Source organism: Homo sapiens, chromosome 1 (assembly GCF_000001405.40).
Source record: "Homo sapiens chromosome 1, GRCh38.p14 Primary Assembly".
Lineage (NCBI taxonomy): Eukaryota > Metazoa > Chordata > Mammalia > Primates > Hominidae > Homo > Homo sapiens.
In genome coordinates this window covers 148,541,576-148,559,650 of record NC_000001.11, presented here as the reverse complement: position 1 = coordinate 148,559,650, position 18,075 = coordinate 148,541,576, and the positions used below count along the sequence as shown (strand labels likewise).

General features: G+C 44.0%; 1 protein-coding gene across 2 annotated transcripts in view; it reads left to right on the top strand.

Annotated features, from left to right (window-relative positions):
* The window catches only part of NBPF14 (NBPF member 14), a 64,627-nt gene that overhangs the window by 36,361 nt on the left and 10,191 nt on the right, over window positions 1-18,075 (top strand). For both annotated transcript variants that reach the window (NM_001395631.1, NM_015383.2), the window contains 23 exons: window positions 579-630; window positions 1,227-1,399; window positions 2,109-2,160; window positions 2,789-2,961; window positions 3,676-3,784; window positions 4,399-4,571; window positions 5,291-5,342; window positions 5,939-6,111; window positions 6,821-6,872; window positions 7,503-7,675; window positions 8,390-8,498; window positions 9,107-9,279; window positions 9,999-10,050; window positions 10,647-10,819; window positions 11,529-11,580; window positions 12,211-12,383; window positions 13,098-13,206; window positions 13,815-13,987; window positions 14,707-14,758; window positions 15,355-15,527; window positions 16,237-16,288; window positions 16,925-17,097; window positions 17,812-17,920. In NM_001395631.1, the coding sequence (NP_001382560.1) occupies window positions 579-630; window positions 1,227-1,399; window positions 2,109-2,160; window positions 2,789-2,961; window positions 3,676-3,784; window positions 4,399-4,571; window positions 5,291-5,342; window positions 5,939-6,111; window positions 6,821-6,872; window positions 7,503-7,675; window positions 8,390-8,498; window positions 9,107-9,279; window positions 9,999-10,050; window positions 10,647-10,819; window positions 11,529-11,580; window positions 12,211-12,383; window positions 13,098-13,206; window positions 13,815-13,987; window positions 14,707-14,758; window positions 15,355-15,527; window positions 16,237-16,288; window positions 16,925-17,097; window positions 17,812-17,920 (2,755 nt within the window). The remainder of the gene's footprint in view (window positions 1-578; window positions 631-1,226; window positions 1,400-2,108; window positions 2,161-2,788; window positions 2,962-3,675; window positions 3,785-4,398; window positions 4,572-5,290; window positions 5,343-5,938; window positions 6,112-6,820; window positions 6,873-7,502; window positions 7,676-8,389; window positions 8,499-9,106; window positions 9,280-9,998; window positions 10,051-10,646; window positions 10,820-11,528; window positions 11,581-12,210; window positions 12,384-13,097; window positions 13,207-13,814; window positions 13,988-14,706; window positions 14,759-15,354; window positions 15,528-16,236; window positions 16,289-16,924; window positions 17,098-17,811; window positions 17,921-18,075) is intronic.

Here is an 18,075-nt window from a genome sequence, read left to right as displayed (position 1 = left end):
TCTAGTTCCACTTGGAAGCCCAGACAAGGGATGGGTCAGTGAGCAAGGCTCTCTTCCTAGTCTCAGGCCATGCCTGTGGCGCCCTAATCCTACTCTCATGACATTGGACCTGGGCAGATGTGACAAATTCACACAACTCTGATTTTGTCTCAATTTTGTAGATCTTGTAGATTTCATCCTTCACTCTAATTTCAGCGTCTGAAATCCTCGCTACCATGAACAATCTGAGTATTTGATGAGACAGGGTGAATAGTGCAGTTTTTCTCCTAGCAACCATTTGGGGGCAATTGCTTTAAATCGATTGGAAAAATATGGCATAACCATTTGCACAAACTTGGGACAAATGATATTGGGATAACGATCTACCAGAATAGGGAATTTTACCCACAGTTTCTGGGACAAAAACCAAGGAATCTCTATGGTGATCAGCCTTCAGGCCTCCTGAAGACTATCTCTCACAGTGTCCTATTCTCATGCTGAGGAGCCTGAAGTCCCTGTGTGAGGATTAGACAGTGGATTGTTATGTGTGTTTAGGAGAACCAGCTTAATATGTCTGTCCATGTCTGAACTTATTGCAGAAATTGAAAAGTACAAAGAAGTGGAAGAAGACCAAGACCCATCATGCCCCAGGTAACTTTGAGCAATTATGGATGCTTAATTCTGTGTTGACACCTGGAGATGCCAGGTCCAGGGAAAACAAGAGTGTGTTCAATTTCATGTTTTCAACGAAGGTTGAATTACTCCTACTGACATTGCTGTTGGTTTTCATTGCAGTAGATGTTTAGGTTTCCATTTCTTCCTCCCCTTATCATTTACTCACTTACTATAGGTTGACCATACCTCAAAGGCTGTATGGCAACTGCATGGAATCTTGAGCAAGTTTATGGAAAATTATTGAGCCCACTCTTTTCGTGATCACTGTTCGCTGTGTGTCCCGAGGGCACTAACTCAGAGTGTCCTTTGACCCCTTCATCAGTGTGTCACCCGGCCAATTCGCTGAGCTCACTTTCTCCTCTCTCTCTCTCTCCCTCTCCCTGTCTTTCTCTTTCATTCTTTTCTACCTGGCCCTGGTCTATCCCAACATAAAGGCAATAATTCATTACCTCATTAATGGATCTGTCCTTTTTCTTTTTAAACAGTTCCTTATGTTAGCCATGAAATCTAGCTGGGGCTGTGTGGTTTCTGATTCCCCCTGGCTTATTCTTTACTTTTTCCTACTTTTCCAGGCTCAGCAGGGAGCTGCTGGATGAGAAAGAGCCTGAAGTCTTGCAGGACTCACTGGATAGATGTTATTCGACTCCTTCAGGTTATCTTGAACTGCCTGACTTAGGCCAGCCCTACAGCAGTGCTGTTTACTCATTGGAGGAACAGTACCTTGGCTTGGCTCTTGACGTGGACAGTGAGTACCTTACTGTGAAGGTGATAAGCCTCCACCTGGTCTTCCAGATAGGGGTGATATTCCTGTTCCAAGTGCCCCTTACTGACCCGAGAGACGTCATTGCCGCAGGCAGAACCTATGGGCGCATATAGGTTGTAATGAAACTGTAGTCTCAGTTGGAAGCCTAGACATGAAATGGGTCAGTGAGCAAGGCTCTATTCCTAGTCTCCAGCCATGCCTGTGGCAACCTGAGCCCGCTCTCAGCACATTGGACCCAGGCAGATGTAAAAAATTCACAGAAGTATGATTTGGACTCAAGGGTTTGTAGATTTCCTCCTTCATTCTAATTTCAGTGTCTAAAATTCTTGCATCCATGAACGAGCTGGGCATTTGATGAGACAGGGCTGAATACTTTAGTTTTCCTCCTGGAAATCATCTGGGGCATTTTCTTTGAACTGATGGGAACAATAAAGCATAACTGTTTGCACAAACTTGGGATAAATGATTTTGGGATAACGATCTACCAGAATGGGGATATTTCACCCTTGGTTCTGAGATGCAAAGCAAGGAATATCATGACCAGCTTTCAGGCCTCCTGAAGTATATCTCTCACATGGTCCTGTTCTCATGCTGAGGAGCCTGAGATCCCTGTGTGGGGATTAGACAGTGGACTGTTATGGGTGTAGGTGAATTGGCTTATTTTGTCTGTCCCTGTCTGAATGTATTGCAGGATTTAAAAAGGACGAAGAAGAGGAAGAAGACCAAGACCCACCATGCCCCAGGTAACTGAGCAATTGTGAACAGCTACTTCTGTGTTGACATCTGGAGACTCCTGGTTCAGGGAAAACAGAGCGGGCTGACATTATCGATTACATCTTTTCAACCAAGCCTGAATTATTCCTACTAACATTGCTGTTGGTTTTCATTGCAGTAGATATTTAGGTTTCCATTTCTTCCTCCCCTTATCATTTACTAACCTACTGTAGGTGGACCAGACTTCAAAAACTGTATTCTCATGGTGACTGCATGGAAACTTGAGCACATTTTATGGAAAATTATTGAGCACAGTCTTTTCATGATCCCTGTATGCTGTGTGTCCTGAGGGCACTAACTCAGAGTGTCCTGTTACTCCCTCATCAGTGTGTCACCTGGACAATTCACTGAGCTCGTTCTCTCTCTCTCTCTGTGTGTGTGTGTGTGTGTGTGTGTGTGTCTATCTGTCTTTCTCTTTCATTCTTTTCCATTTGGCCCTGTTCTGTCCCAACATGAAGGCAATAATGTGTTACCTCATTAATGGATCTATCCTTTTAGTTTTTTAACCACTTCCCTATGCTACCCATGAAACCTAGTTGGGGCTCTGTTGTGTCTGATTTCCCCTGGCTTATTCTTTACTTTTTCCTCCTTTTCCAGGCTCAGCAGGGAGCTGCTGGAGGTAGTAGAGCCTGAAGTCTTGCAGGACTCACTGGATAGATGTTATTCAACTCCTTCCAGTTGTCTTGAACAGCCTGACTCCTGCCAGCCCTATGGAAGTTCCTTTTATGCATTGGAGGAAAAACATGTTGGCTTTTCTCTTGATGTGGGAGGTGAGTACCTTTCTATGAAGGTGATAAGGATCCACTGAGTCTTCCATATAAAGATCATATTCCTGCTCCAAGTGGCCATTACTGAGCTGAGAGATGTCATTGCCACAGGGAGGACCTATAGGCACATGTAGGTTGAATGAAACTCTAGTTCTACCTGGAAGCCCAGACAAGGGATGGGTCAGTGAGCAAGACTCTCTTCCTAGTCTCAGGCCATACCTGTGGCGCCCTGATCCTATTCTCATGACATTGGACCTGGGCAGATGTGACAAATTCAGAGAACTATGATTTTGACTCAAGGGTTTGTAGATTTCCTTTTTCACTCTAATTTCAGTGTCTAAAGTCCTCACAACCATGAACAATCTGAGTATTTGATGAGACAGGGCTAAATATTGCAGTTTTTCTCCTAGAAATCATTTGAGGGTATTTGCTTTAAGTTGATTGGAAAAATATGGCGTAACTGTTTGCACAAACTTGGGACAAATGATATTGGGATAACGATCTACTAGAATAGGGACATTTTACCCACAGTTTCTGGGAGAAAAACCGAGGAATTTCTATCATGACCAGCCTTCAGGCCTCCTGAAATATATCTCTCACAGTGTCCTATTCTTATGCTGAGGAGCCTGAGGTCCCTGTGTGAGGATTAGACAGTGGATTGTTATGTGTGTAGGGGAATCAGCTTAATGTGTCTGTCCATGTCTGAATTTATTGCAGAAATTGAAAAGAAGGGGAAGGGGAAGAAAAGAAGGGGAAGAAGATCAAAGAAGGAAAGAAGAAGGGGAAGAAAAGAAGGGGAAGAAGATCAAAACCCACCATGCCCCAGGTGACTTTCAGCAATTGTGGATGCTTAATTCTGTGTTAACACCTGGAGGCAACAGATTCAGGGAAACCAGAGTGTGTTTGATGACATGTTTTCAGCGAAGGCTGAATTACTCCTACTGTCATTGCTGTTGGTTTTCATTGCAGTAGATGTTTAGGTTTCCATTTCTTCCTCCCCTTATCATTTCCTAACGTACCATAGGTTGACCATACTTCAAAAGCTGTACTCTCATGGCCACTGCATCGAATTTTGAGCATATTTTATGGAAAACTATTGAGCTCACTCTTTTCATGATCACAGTTTGCTGTGTGTCATGAGGGCACTAACTCAGAGTGTCCTTTGACTCCCTTACCAGTATGTCACCTGGCCAATTCACTAGGTCACTTTCTCTCTGTCTCTGTCTCTGTCTCTGTCTCTGTCTCTGTCTGTCTTTCTCTTTCATTGTTTTCTACCTGGCCCTGTTCTATCCCAACATAAAGGCAATAATTTGTTACCTCATTAATGGATCTGTCCTTTTTCTTTTCAAACTCTTCCTTACGTTAGCCATGAAATCTAGCTGGGGCTGTGTGGTTTCTGATTCCCCCTGGCTTATTCTTTACTTTTTCCCACTTTTCCAGGCTCAGCAGGGAGCTGCTGGATGAGAAAGGGCCTGAAGTCTTGCAGGACTCACTGGATAGATGTTATTCAACTCCTTCAGGTTGTCTTGAACTGACTGACTCATGCCAGCCCTACAGAAGTGCCTTTTATGTATTGGAGCAACAGCGTGTTGGCTTGGCTGTTGACATGGATGGTGAGTACCTTTCTATGAAGGTGATAAGGATCCACTGAGTCTTCTGGTTAGGGTCATATTCCTACTGCAAGTGGCCCTTACTGAGCTGAGAGATGTCATTGCCACAGGGAGGAACTATAGGCACATGTAGGTTGAGTGAAACTCTAGTTCCACTTGGAAGCCCAGACAAGGGATGGGTCAGTGAGCAAGGCTCTCTTCCTAGTCTCAGGCCATGCCTGTGGCGCCCTAATCCTACTGTCAAGATGTTGGATCTGGGCAGATGTGACAAATTCACACAACTCTGATTTTGTCTCAATTTTGTAGATCTTGTGGATTTCATCCTTCACTCTAATTTCAGCGTGTAAAATCCTCACTACCATGAACAATCTGAGTATTTGATGAGACAGGGCTGAATAGTGCAGTTTTTCTCTTAGCAGCCATTTGGGGGCATTTGCTTTAAATCGATTGGAAAAATATGGCATAACCATTTGCACAAACTTGGGACAAATGATATTGGGATAACGATCTACCAGAATAGGGAATTTTACCCACAGTTTCTGGGACAAAAACCAAGGAATCTCTATGGTGATCAGCCTTCAGGCCTCCTGAAGACTATCTCTCACAGTGTCCTATTCTCATGCTGAGGAGCCTGAAGTCCCTGTGTGAGGATTAGACAGTGGATTGTTATGTGTGTAGGAGAACCAGCTTAATATGTCTGTCCATGTCTGAACTTATTGCAGAAATTGAAAAGTACAAAGAAGTGGAAGAAGACCAAGACCCATCATGCCCCAGGTAACTTTGAGCAATTATGGATGCTTAATTCTGTGTTGACACCTGGAGATGCCAGGTCCAGGGAAAACAAGAGTGTGTTCAATTTCATGTTTTCAACGAAGGTTGAATTACTCCTACTGACATTGCTGTTGGTTTTCATTGCAGTAGATGTTTAGGTTTCCATTTCTTCCTCCCCTTATCATTTACTCACTTACTATAGGTTGACCATACCTCAAAGGCTGTATGGCAACTGCATGGAATCTTGAGCAAGTTTATGGAAAATTATTGAGCCCACTCTTTTCGTGATCACTGTTCGCTGTGTGTCCCGAGGGCACTAACTCAGAGTGTCCTTTGACCCCTTCATCAGTGTGTCACCCGGCCAATTCGCTGAGCTCACTTTCTCCTCTCTCTCTCTCTCCCTCTCCCTGTCTTTCTCTTTCATTCTTTTCTACCTGGCCCTGGTCTATCCCAACATAAAGGCAATAATTCATTACCTCATTAATGGATCTGTCCTATTTCTTTTTAAACAGTTCCTTATGTTAGCCATGAAATCTAGCTGGGGCTGTGTGGTTTCTGATTCCCCCTGGCTTATTCTTTACTTTTTCCTACTTTTCCAGGCTCAGCAGGGAGCTGCTGGATGAGAAAGAGCCTGAAGTCTTGCAGGACTCACTGGATAGATGTTATTCGACTCCTTCAGGTTATCTTGAACTGCCTGACTTAGGCCAGCCCTACAGCAGTGCTGTTTACTCATTGGAGGAACAGTACCTTGGCTTGGCTCTTGACGTGGACAGTGAGTACCTTACTGTGAAGGTGATAAGCCTCCACCTGGTCTTCCAGATAGGGGTGATATTCCTGTTCCAAGTGCCCCTTACTGACCCGAGAGACGTCATTGCTGCAGGCAGGACCTATGGGCGCATATAGGTTGTAATGAAACTGTAGTCTCAGCTGGAAGCCTAGACATGAAATGGGTCAGTGAGCAAGGCTCTATTCCTAGTCTCCAGCCATGCCTGTGGCAACCTGAGCCCGCTCTCAGCACATTGGACCCAGGCAGATGTAAAAAATTCACAGAAGTATGATTTGGACTCAAGGGTTTGTAGATTTCCTCCTTCATTCTAATTTCAGTGTCTAAAATTCTTGCATCCATGAACGAGCTGGGCATTTGATGAGACAGGGCTGAATACTTTAGTTTTCCTCCTGGAAATCATCTGGGGCATTTTCTTTGAACTGATGGGAACAATAAAGCATAACTGTTTGCACAAACTTGGGATAAATGATTTTGGGATAACGATCTACCAGAATGGGGATATTTCACCCTTGGTTCTGAGATGCAAACCAAAGAATATCATGACCAGCTTTCAGGCCTCCTGAAGTATATCTCTCACATTGTCCTGTTCTCATGCTGAGGAGCCTGAGATCCCTGTGTGGGGATTAGACAGTGGACTGTTATGGGTGTAGGTGAATTGGCTTATTTTGTCTGTCCCTGTCTGAATGTATTGCAGGAATTAAAAAGGACCAAGAAGAGGAAGAAGACCAAGGCCCACCATGCCCCAGGTAACTGAGCAATTGTGAACAGCTACTTCTGTGTTGACATCTGGAGACTCCTGGTTCAGGGAAAACAGAGCGGGCTGACATTATCGATTACATCTTTTCAACCAAGCCTGAATTATTCCTACTAACATTGCTGTTGGTTTTCATTGCAGTAGATATTTAGGTTTCCATTTCTTCCTCCCCTTATCATTTACTAACCTACTGTAGGTGGACCAGACTTCAAAAACTGTATTCTCATGGCGACTGCATGGAAACTTGAGCACATTTTATGGAAAATTATTGAGCACAGTCTTTTCATGATCCCTGTATGCTGTGTGTCCTGAGGGCACTAACTCAGAGTGTCCTGTTACTCCCTCATCAGTGTGTCACCTGGACAATTCACTGAGCTCGTTCTCTCTCTCTCTCTGTGTGTGTGTGTGTGTGTGTGTGTGTGTGTCTATCTGTCTTTCTCTTTCATTCTTTTCCATTTGGCCCTGTTCTGTCCCAACATGAAGGCAATAATTTGTTACCTCATTAATGGATCTATCCTTTTAGTTTTTTAACCACTTCCCTATGCTACCCATGAAACCTAGTTGGGGCTCTGTTGTGTCTGATTTCCCCTGGCTTATTCTTTACTTTTTCCTCCTTTTCCAGGCTCAGCAGGGAGCTGCTGGAGGTAGTAGAGCCTGAAGTCTTGCAGGACTCACTGGATAGATGTTATTCAACTCCTTCCAGTTGTCTTGAACAGCCTGACTCCTGCCAGCCCTATGGAAGTTCCTTTTATGCATTGGAGGAAAAACATGTTGGCTTTTCTCTTGACGTGGGAGGTGAGTACCTTTCTATGAAGGTGATAAGGATCCACTGAGTCTTCCATATAAAGATCATATTCCTGCTCCAAGTGGCCATTACTGAGCTGAGAGATGTCATTGCCACAGGGAGGACCTATAGGCACATGTAGGTTGAATGAAACTCTAGTTCTACCTGGAAGCCCAGACAAGGGATGGGTCAGTGAGCAAGACTCTCTTCCTAGTCTCAGGCCATACCTGTGGTGCCCTGATCCTATTCTCATGACATTGGACCTGGGCAGATGTGACAAATTCAGAGAACTATGATTTTGACTCAAGGGTTTGTAGATTTCCTTTTTCACTCTAATTTCAGTGTCTAAAGTCCTCACAACCATGAACAATCTGAGTATTTGATGAGACAGGGCTAAATATTGCAGTTTTTCTCCTAGAAATCATTTGAGGGTATTTGCTTTAAGTTGATTGGAAAAATATGGCGTAACTGTTTGCACAAACTTGGGACAAATGATATTGGGATAACGATCTACTAGAATAGGGACATTTTACCCACAGTTTCTGGGAGAAAAACCGAGGAATTTCTATCATGACCAGCCTTCAGGCCTCCTGAAATATATCTCTCACAGTGTCCTATTCTTATGCTGAGGAGCCTGAGGTCCCTGTGTGAGGATTAGACAGTGGATTGTTATGTGTGTAGGGGAATCAGCTTAATGTGTCTGTCCATGTCTGAATTTATTGCAGAAATTGAAAAGAAGGGGAAGGGGAAGAAAAGAAGGGGAAGAAGATCAAAGAAGGAAAGAAGAAGGGGAAGAAAAGAAGGGGAAGAAGATCAAAACCCACCATGCCCCAGGTGACTTTCAGCAATTGTGGATGCTTAATTCTGTGTTAACACCTGGAGGCAACAGATTCAGGGAAACCAGAGTGTGTTTGATGACATGTTTTCAGCGAAGGCTGAATTACTCCTACTGTCATTGCTGTTGGTTTTCATTGCAGTAGATGTTTAGGTTTCCATTTCTTCCTCCCCTTATCATTTCCTAACGTACCATAGGTTGACCATACTTCAAAAGCTGTACTCTCATGGCCACTGCATCGAATTTTGAGCATATTTTATGGAAAACTATTGAGCTCACTCTTTTCATGATCACAGTTTGCTGTGTGTCATGAGGGCACTAACTCAGAGTGTCCTTTGACTCCCTTACCAGTATGTCACCTGGCCAATTCACTAGGTCACTTTCTCTCTGTCTCTGTCTCTGTCTCTGTCTCTGTCTGTCTTTCTCTTTCATTGTTTTCTACCTGGCCCTGTTCTATCCCAACATAACGGCAATAATTTGTTACCTCATTAATGGATCTGTCCTTTTTCTTTTCAAACTCTTCCTTACGTTAGCCATGAAATCTAGCTGGGGCTGTGTGGTTTCTGATTCCCCCTGGCTTATTCTTTACTTTTTCCCACTTTTCCAGGCTCAGCAGGGAGCTGCTGGATGAGAAAGGGCCTGAAGTCTTGCAGGACTCACTGGATAGATGTTATTCAACTCCTTCAGGTTGTCTTGAACTGACTGACTCATGCCAGCCCTACAGAAGTGCCTTTTATGTATTGGAGCAACAGCGTGTTGGCTTGGCTGTTGACATGGATGGTGAGTACCTTTCTATGAAGGTGATAAGGATCCACTGAGTCTTCTGGTTAGGGTCATATTCCTACTGCAAGTGGCCCTTACTGAGCTGAGAGATGTCATTGCCACAGGGAGGAACTATAGGCACATGTAGGTTGAGTGAAACTCTAGTTCCACTTGGAAGCCCAGACAAGGGATGGGTCAGTGAGCAAGGCTCTCTTCCTAGTCTCAGGCCATGCCTGTGGCGCCCTAATCCTACTGTCAAGATGTTGGATCTGGGCAGATGTGACAAATTCACACAACTCTGATTTTGTCTCAATTTTGTAGATCTTGTAGATTTCATCCTTCACTCTAATTTCAGCGTGTAAAATCCTCGCTACCATGAACAATCTGAGTATTTGATGAGACAGGGCTGAATAGTGCAGTTTTTCTCTTAGCAGCCATTTGGGGGCATTTGCTTTAAATCGATTGGAAAAATATGGCATAACCATTTGCACAAACTTGGGACAAATGATATTGGGATAACGATCTACCAGAATAGGGAATTTTACCCACAGTTTCTGGGACAAAAACCAAGGAATCTCTATGGTGATCAGCCTTCAGGCCTCCTGAAGACTATCTCTCACAGTGTCCTATTCTCATGCTGAGGAGCCTGAAGTCCCTGTGTGAGGATTAGACAGTGGATTGTTATGTGTGTAGGAGAACCAGCTTAATATGTCTGTCCATGTCTGAACTTATTGCAGAAATTGAAAAGTACAAAGAAGTGGAAGAAGACCAAGACCCATCATGCCCCAGGTAACTTTGAGCAATTATGGATGCTTAATTCTGTGTTGACACCTGGAGATGCCAGGTCCAGGGAAAACAAGAGTGTGTTCAATTTCATGTTTTCAACGAAGGTTGAATTACTCCTACTGACATTGCTGTTGGTTTTCATTGCAGTAGATGTTTAGGTTTCCATTTCTTCCTCCCCTTATCATTTACTCACTTACTATAGGTTGACCATACCTCAAAGGCTGTATGGCAACTGCATGGAATCTTGAGCAAGTTTATGGAAAATTATTGAGCCCACTCTTTTCGTGATCACTGTTCGCTGTGTGTCCCGAGGGCACTAACTCAGAGTGTCCTTTGACCCCTTCATCAGTGTGTCACCCGGCCAATTCGCTGAGCTCACTTTCTCCTCTCTCTCTCTCTCCCTCTCCCTGTCTTTCTCTTTCATTCTTTTCTACCTGGCCCTGGTCTATCCCAACATAAAGGCAATAATTCATTACCTCATTAATGGATCTGTCCTATTTCTTTTTAAACAGTTCCTTATGTTAGCCATGAAATCTAGCTGGGGCTGTGTGGTTTCTGATTCCCCCTGGCTTATTCTTTACTTTTTCCTACTTTTCCAGGCTCAGCAGGGAGCTGCTGGATGAGAAAGAGCCTGAAGTCTTGCAGGACTCACTGGATAGATGTTATTCGACTCCTTCAGGTTATCTTGAACTGCCTGACTTAGGCCAGCCCTACAGCAGTGCTGTTTACTCATTGGAGGAACAGTACCTTGGCTTGGCTCTTGACGTGGACAGTGAGTACCTTACTGTGAAGGTGATAAGCCTCCACCTGGTCTTCCAGATAGGGGTGATATTCCTGTTCCAAGTGCCCCTTACTGACCCGAGAGACGTCATTGCCGCAGGCAGGACCTATGGGCGCATATAGGTTGTAATGAAACTGTAGTCTCAGCTGGAAGCCTAGACATGAAATGGGTCAGTGAGCAAGGCTCTATTCCTAGTCTCCAGCCATGCCTGTGGCAACCTGAGCCCGCTCTCAGCACATTGGACCCAGGCAGATGTAAAAAATTCACAGAAGTATGATTTGGACTCAAGGGTTTGTAGATTTCCTCCTTCATTCTAATTTCAGTGTCTAAAATTCTTGCATCCATGAACGAGCTGGGCATTTGATGAGACAGGGCTGAATACTTTAGTTTTCCTCCTGGAAATCATCTGGGGCATTTTCTTTGAACTGATGGGAGCAATAAAGCATAACTGTTTGCACAAACTTGGGATAAATGATTTTGGGATAACGATCTACCAGAATGGGGATATTTCACCCTTGGTTCTGAGATGCAAACCAAAGAATATCATGACCAGCTTTCAGGCCTCCTGAAGTATATCTCTCACATTGTCCTGTTCTCATGCTGAGGAGCCTGAGATCCCTGTGTGGGGATTAGACAGTGGACTGTTATGGGTGTAGGTGAATTGGCTTATTTTGTCTGTCCCTGTCTGAATGTATTGCAGGAATTAAAAAGGACCAAGAAGAGGAAGAAGACCAAGGCCCACCATGCCCCAGGTAACTGAGCAATTGTGAACAGCTACTTCTGTGTTGACATCTGGAGACTCCTGGTTCAGGGAAAACAGAGCGGGCTGACATTATCGATTACATCTTTTCAACCAAGCCTGAATTATTCCTACTAACATTGCTGTTGGTTTTCATTGCAGTAGATATTTAGGTTTCCATTTCTTCCTCCCCTTATCATTTACTAACCTACTGTAGGTGGACCAGACTTCAAAAACTGTATTCTCATGGCGACTGCATGGAAACTTGAGCACATTTTATGGAAAATTATTGAGCACAGTCTTTTCATGATCCCTGTATGCTGTGTGTCCTGAGGGCACTAACTCAGAGTGTCCTGTTACTCCCTCATCAGTGTGTCACCTGGACAATTCACTGAGCTCGTTCTCTCTCTCTCTCTGTGTGTGTGTGTGTGTGTGTGTGTGTGTGTCTATCTGTCTTTCTCTTTCATTCTTTTCCATTTGGCCCTGTTCTGTCCCAACATGAAGGCAATAATTTGTTACCTCATTAATGGATCTATCCTTTTAGTTTTTTAACCACTTCCCTATGCTACCCATGAAACCTAGTTGGGGCTCTGTTGTGTCTGATTTCCCCTGGCTTATTCTTTACTTTTTCCTCCTTTTCCAGGCTCAGCAGGGAGCTGCTGGAGGTAGTAGAGCCTGAAGTCTTGCAGGACTCACTGGATAGATGTTATTCAACTCCTTCCAGTTGTCTTGAACAGCCTGACTCCTGCCAGCCCTATGGAAGTTCCTTTTATGCATTGGAGGAAAAACATGTTGGCTTTTCTCTTGACGTGGGAGGTGAGTACCTTTCTATGAAGGTGATAAGGATCCACTGAGTCTTCCATATAAAGATCATATTCCTGCTCCAAGTGGCCATTACTGAGCTGAGAGATGTCATTGCCACAGGGAGGACCTATAGGCACATGTAGGTTGAATGAAACTCTAGTTCTACCTGGAAGCCCAGACAAGGGATGGGTCAGTGAGCAAGACTCTCTTCCTAGTCTCAGGCCATACCTGTGGCGCCCTGATCCTATTCTCATGACATTGGACCTGGGCAGATGTGACAAATTCAGAGAACTATGATTTTGACTCAAGGGTTTGTAGATTTCCTTTTTCACTCTAATTTCAGTGTCTAAAGTCCTCACAACCATGAACAATCTGAGTATTTGATGAGACAGGGCTAAATATTGCAGTTTTTCTCCTAGAAATCATTTGAGGGTATTTGCTTTAAGTTGATTGGAAAAATATGGCGTAACTGTTTGCACAAACTTGGGACAAATGATATTGGGATAACGATCTACTAGAATAGGGACATTTTACCCACAGTTTCTGGGAGAAAAACCGAGGAATTTCTATCATGACCAGCCTTCAGGCCTCCTGAAATATATCTCTCACAGTGTCCTATTCTTATGCTGAGGAGCCTGAGGTCCCTGTGTGAGGATTAGACAGTGGATTGTTATGTGTGTAGGGGAATCAGCTTAATGTGTCTGTCCATGTCTGAATTTATTGCAGAAATTGAAAAGAAGGGGAAGGGGAAGAAAAGAAGGGGAAGAAGATCAAAGAAGGAAAGAAGAAGGGGAAGAAAAGAAGGGGAAGAAGATCAAAACCCACCATGCCCCAGGTGACTTTCAGCAATTGTGGATGCTTAATTCTGTGTTAACACCTGGAGGCAACAGATTCAGGGAAACCAGAGTGTGTTTGATGACATGTTTTCAGCGAAGGCTGAATTACTCCTACTGTCATTGCTGTTGGTTTTCATTGCAGTAGATGTTTAGGTTTCCATTTCTTCCTCCCCTTATCATTTCCTAACGTACCATAGGTTGACCATACTTCAAAAGCTGTACTCTCATGGCCACTGCATCGAATTTTGAGCATATTTTATGGAAAACTATTGAGCTCACTCTTTTCATGATCACAGTTTGCTGTGTGTCATGAGGGCACTAACTCAGAGTGTCCTTTGACTCCCTTACCAGTATGTCACCTGGCCAATTCACTAGGTCACTTTCTCTCTGTCTCTGTCTCTGTCTCTGTCTCTGTCTGTCTTTCTCTTTCATTGTTTTCTACCTGGCCCTGTTCTATCCCAACATAAAGGCAATAATTTGTTACCTCATTAATGGATCTGTCCTTTTTCTTTTCAAACTCTTCCTTACGTTAGCCATGAAATCTAGCTGGGGCTGTGTGGTTTCTGATTCCCCCTGGCTTATTCTTTACTTTTTCCCACTTTTCCAGGCTCAGCAGGGAGCTGCTGGATGAGAAAGGGCCTGAAGTCTTGCAGGACTCACTGGATAGATGTTATTCAACTCCTTCAGGTTGTCTTGAACTGACTGACTCATGCCAGCCCTACAGAAGTGCCTTTTATGTATTGGAGCAACAGCGTGTTGGCTTGGCTGTTGACATGGATGGTGAGTACCTTTCTATGAAGGTGATAAGGATCCACTGAGTCTTCTGGTTAGGGTCATATTCCTACTGCAAGTGGCCCTTACTGAGCTGAGAGATGTCATTGCCACAGGGAGGAACTATAGGCACATGTAGGTTGAGTGAAACTCTAGTTCCACTTGGAAGCCCAGACAAGGGATGGGTCAGTGAGCAAGGCTCTCTTCGTAGTCTCAGGCCATGCCTGTGGCGCCCTAATCCTACTGTCAAGATGTTGGATCTGGGCAGATGTGACAAATTCACACAACTCTGATTTTGTCTCAATTTTGTAGATCTTGTAGATTTCATCCTTCACTCTAATTTCAGCGTGTAAAATCCTCACTACCATGAACAATCTGAGTATTTGATGAGACAGGGCTGAATAGTGCAGTTTTTCTCTTAGCAGCCATTTGGGGGCATTTGCTTTAAATCGATTGGAAAAATATGGCATAACCATTTGCACAAACTTGGGACAAATGATATTGGGATAACGATCTACCAGAATAGGGAATTTTACCCACAGTTTCTGGGACAAAAACCAAGGAATCTCTATGGTGATCAGCCTTCAGGCCTCCTGAAGACTATCTCTCACAGTGTCCTATTCTCATGCTGAGGAGCCTGAAGTCCCTGTGTGAGGATTAGACAGTGGATTGTTATGTGTGTAGGAGAACCAGCTTAATATGTCTGTCCATGTCTGAACTTATTGCAGAAATTGAAAAGTACAAAGAAGTGGAAGAAGACCAAGACCCATCATGCCCCAGGTAACTTTGAGCAATTATGGATGCTTAATTCTGTGTTGACACCTGGAGATGCCAGGTCCAGGGAAAACAAGAGTGTGTTCAATTTCATGTTTTCAACGAAGGTTGAATTACTCCTACTGACATTGCTGTTGGTTTTCATTGCAGTAGATGTTTAGGTTTCCATTTCTTCCTCCCCTTATCATTTACTCACTTACTATAGGTTGACCATACCTCAAAGGCTGTATGGCAACTGCATGGAATCTTGAGCAAGTTTATGGAAAATTATTGAGCCCACTCTTTTCGTGATCACTGTTCGCTGTGTGTCCCGAGGGCACTAACTCAGAGTGTCCTTTGACCCCTTCATCAGTGTGTCACCCGGCCAATTCGCTGAGCTCACTTTCTCCTCTCTCTCTCTCTCCCTCTCCCTGTCTTTCTCTTTCATTCTTTTCTACCTGGCCCTGGTCTATCCCAACATAAAGGCAATAATTCATTACCTCATTAATGGATCTGTCCTATTTCTTTTTAAACAGTTCCTTATGTTAGCCATGAAATCTAGCTGGGGCTGTGTGGTTTCTGATTCCCCCTGGCTTATTCTTTACTTTTTCCTACTTTTCCAGGCTCAGCAGGGAGCTGCTGGATGAGAAAGAGCCTGAAGTCTTGCAGGACTCACTGGATAGATGTTATTCGACTCCTTCAGGTTATCTTGAACTGCCTGACTTAGGCCAGCCCTACAGCAGTGCTGTTTACTCATTGGAGGAACAGTACCTTGGCTTGGCTCTTGACGTGGACAGTGAGTACCTTACTGTGAAGGTGATAAGCCTCCACCTGGTCTTCCAGATAGGGGTGATATTCCTGTTCCAAGTGCCCCTTACTGACCCGAGAGACGTCATTGCCGCAGGCAGGACCTATGGGCGCATATAGGTTGTAATGAAACTGTAGTCTCAGTTGGAAGCCTAGACATGAAATGGGTCAGTGAGCAAGGCTCTATTCCTAGTCTCCAGCCATGCCTGTGGCAACCTGAGCCCGCTCTCAGCACATTGGACCCAGGCAGATGTAAAAAATTCACAGAAGTATGATTTGGACTCAAGGGTTTGTAGATTTCCTCCTTCATTCTAATTTCAGTGTCTAAAATTCTTGCATCCATGAACGAGCTGGGCATTTGATGAGACAGGGCTGAATACTTTAGTTTTCCTCCTGGAAATCATCTGGGGCATTTTCTTTGAACTGATGGGAGCAATAAAGCATAACTGTTTGCACAAACTTGGGATAAATGATTTTGGGATAACGATCTACCAGAATGGGGATATTTCACCCTTGGTTCTGAGATGCAAACCAAAGAATATCATGACCAGCTTTCAGGCCTCCTGAAGTATATCTCTCACATTGTCCTGTTCTCATGCTGAGGAGCCTGAGATCCCTGTGTGGGGATTAGACAGTGGACTGTTATGGGTGTAGGTGAATTGGCTTATTTTGTCTGTCCCTGTCTGAATGTATTGCAGGAATTAAAAAGGACCAAGAAGAGGAAGAAGACCAAGGCCCACCATGCCCCAGGTAACTGAGCAATTGTGAACAGCTACTTCTGTGTTGACATCTGGAGACTCCTGGTTCAGGGAAAACAGAGCGGGCTGACATTATCGATTACATCTTTTCAACCAAGCCTGAATTATTCCTACTAACATTGCTGTTGGTTTTCATTGCAGTAGATATTTAGGTTTCCATTTCTTCCTCCCCTTATCATTTACTAACCTACTGTAGGTGGACCAGACTTCAAAAACTGTATTCTCATGGCGACTGCATGGAAACTTGAGCACATTTTATGGAAAATTATTGAGCACAGTCTTTTCATGATCCCTGTATGCTGTGTGTCCTGAGGGCACTAACTCAGAGTGTCCTGTTACTCCCTCATCAGTGTGTCACCTGGACAATTCACTGAGCTCGTTCTCTCTCTCTCTGTGTGTGTGTGTGTGTGTGTGTGTGTGTGTGTGTGTGTCTATCTGTCTTTCTCTTTCATTCTTTTCCATTTGGCCCTGTTCTGTCCCAACATGAAGGCAATAATTTGTTACCTCATTAATGGATCTATCCTTTTAGTTTTTTAACCACTTCCCTATGCTACCCATGAAACCTAGTTGGGGCTCTGTTGTGTCTGATTTCCCCTGGCTTATTCTTTACTTTTTCCTCCTTTTCCAGGCTCAGCAGGGAGCTGCTGGAGGTAGTAGAGCCTGAAGTCTTGCAGGACTCACTGGATAGATGTTATTCAACTCCTTCCAGTTGTCTTGAACAGCCTGACTCCTGCCAGCCCTATGGAAGTTCCTTTTATGCATTGGAGGAAAAACATGTTGGCTTTTCTCTTGATGTGGGAGGTGAGTACCTTTCTATGAAGGTGATAAGGATCCACTGAGTCTTCCATATAAAGATCATATTCCTGCTCCAAGTGGCCATTACTGAGCTGAGAGATGTCATTGCCACAGGGAGGACCTATAGGCACATGTAGGTTGAATGAAACTCTAGTTCTACCTGGAAGCCCAGACAAGGGATGGGTCAGTGAGCAAGACTCTCTTCCTAGTCTCAGGCCATACCTGTGGCGCCCTGATCCTATTCTCATGACATTGGACCTGGGCAGATGTGACAAATTCAGAGAACTATGATTTTGACTCAAGGGTTTGTAGATTTCCTTTTTCACTCTAATTTCAGTGTCTAAAGTCCTCACAACCATGAACAATCTGCGTATTTGTTGAGACAGGGCTAAATATTGCAGTTTTTCTCCTAGAAATCATTTGAGGGTATATGCTTTAAGTTGATTGGAAAAATATGGCGTAACTGTTTGCACAAACTTGGGACAAATGATATTGGGATAACGATCTACTAGAATAGGGACATTTTACCCACAGTTTCTGGGAGAAAAACCGAGGAATTTCTATCATAACCAGCCTTCAGGCCTCCTGAAATATATCTCTCACAGTGTCCTATTCTTATGCTGAGGAGCCTGAGGTCCCTGTGTGAGGATTAGACAGTGGATTGTTATGTGTGTAGGGGAATCAGCTTAATGTGTCTGTCCATGTCTGAATTTATTGCAGAAATTGAAAAGAAGGGGAAGGGGAAGAAAAGAAGGGGAAGAAGATCAAAGAAGGAAAGAAGAAGGGGAAGAAAAGAAGGGGAAGAAGATCAAAACCCACCATGCCCCAGGTGACTTTCAGCAATTGTGGATGCTTAATTCTGTGTTAACACCTGGAGGCAACAGATTCAGGGAAACCAGAGTGTGTTTGATGACATGTTTTCAGCGAAGGCTGAATTACTCCTACTGTCATTGCTGTTGGTTTTCATTGCAGTAGATGTTTAGG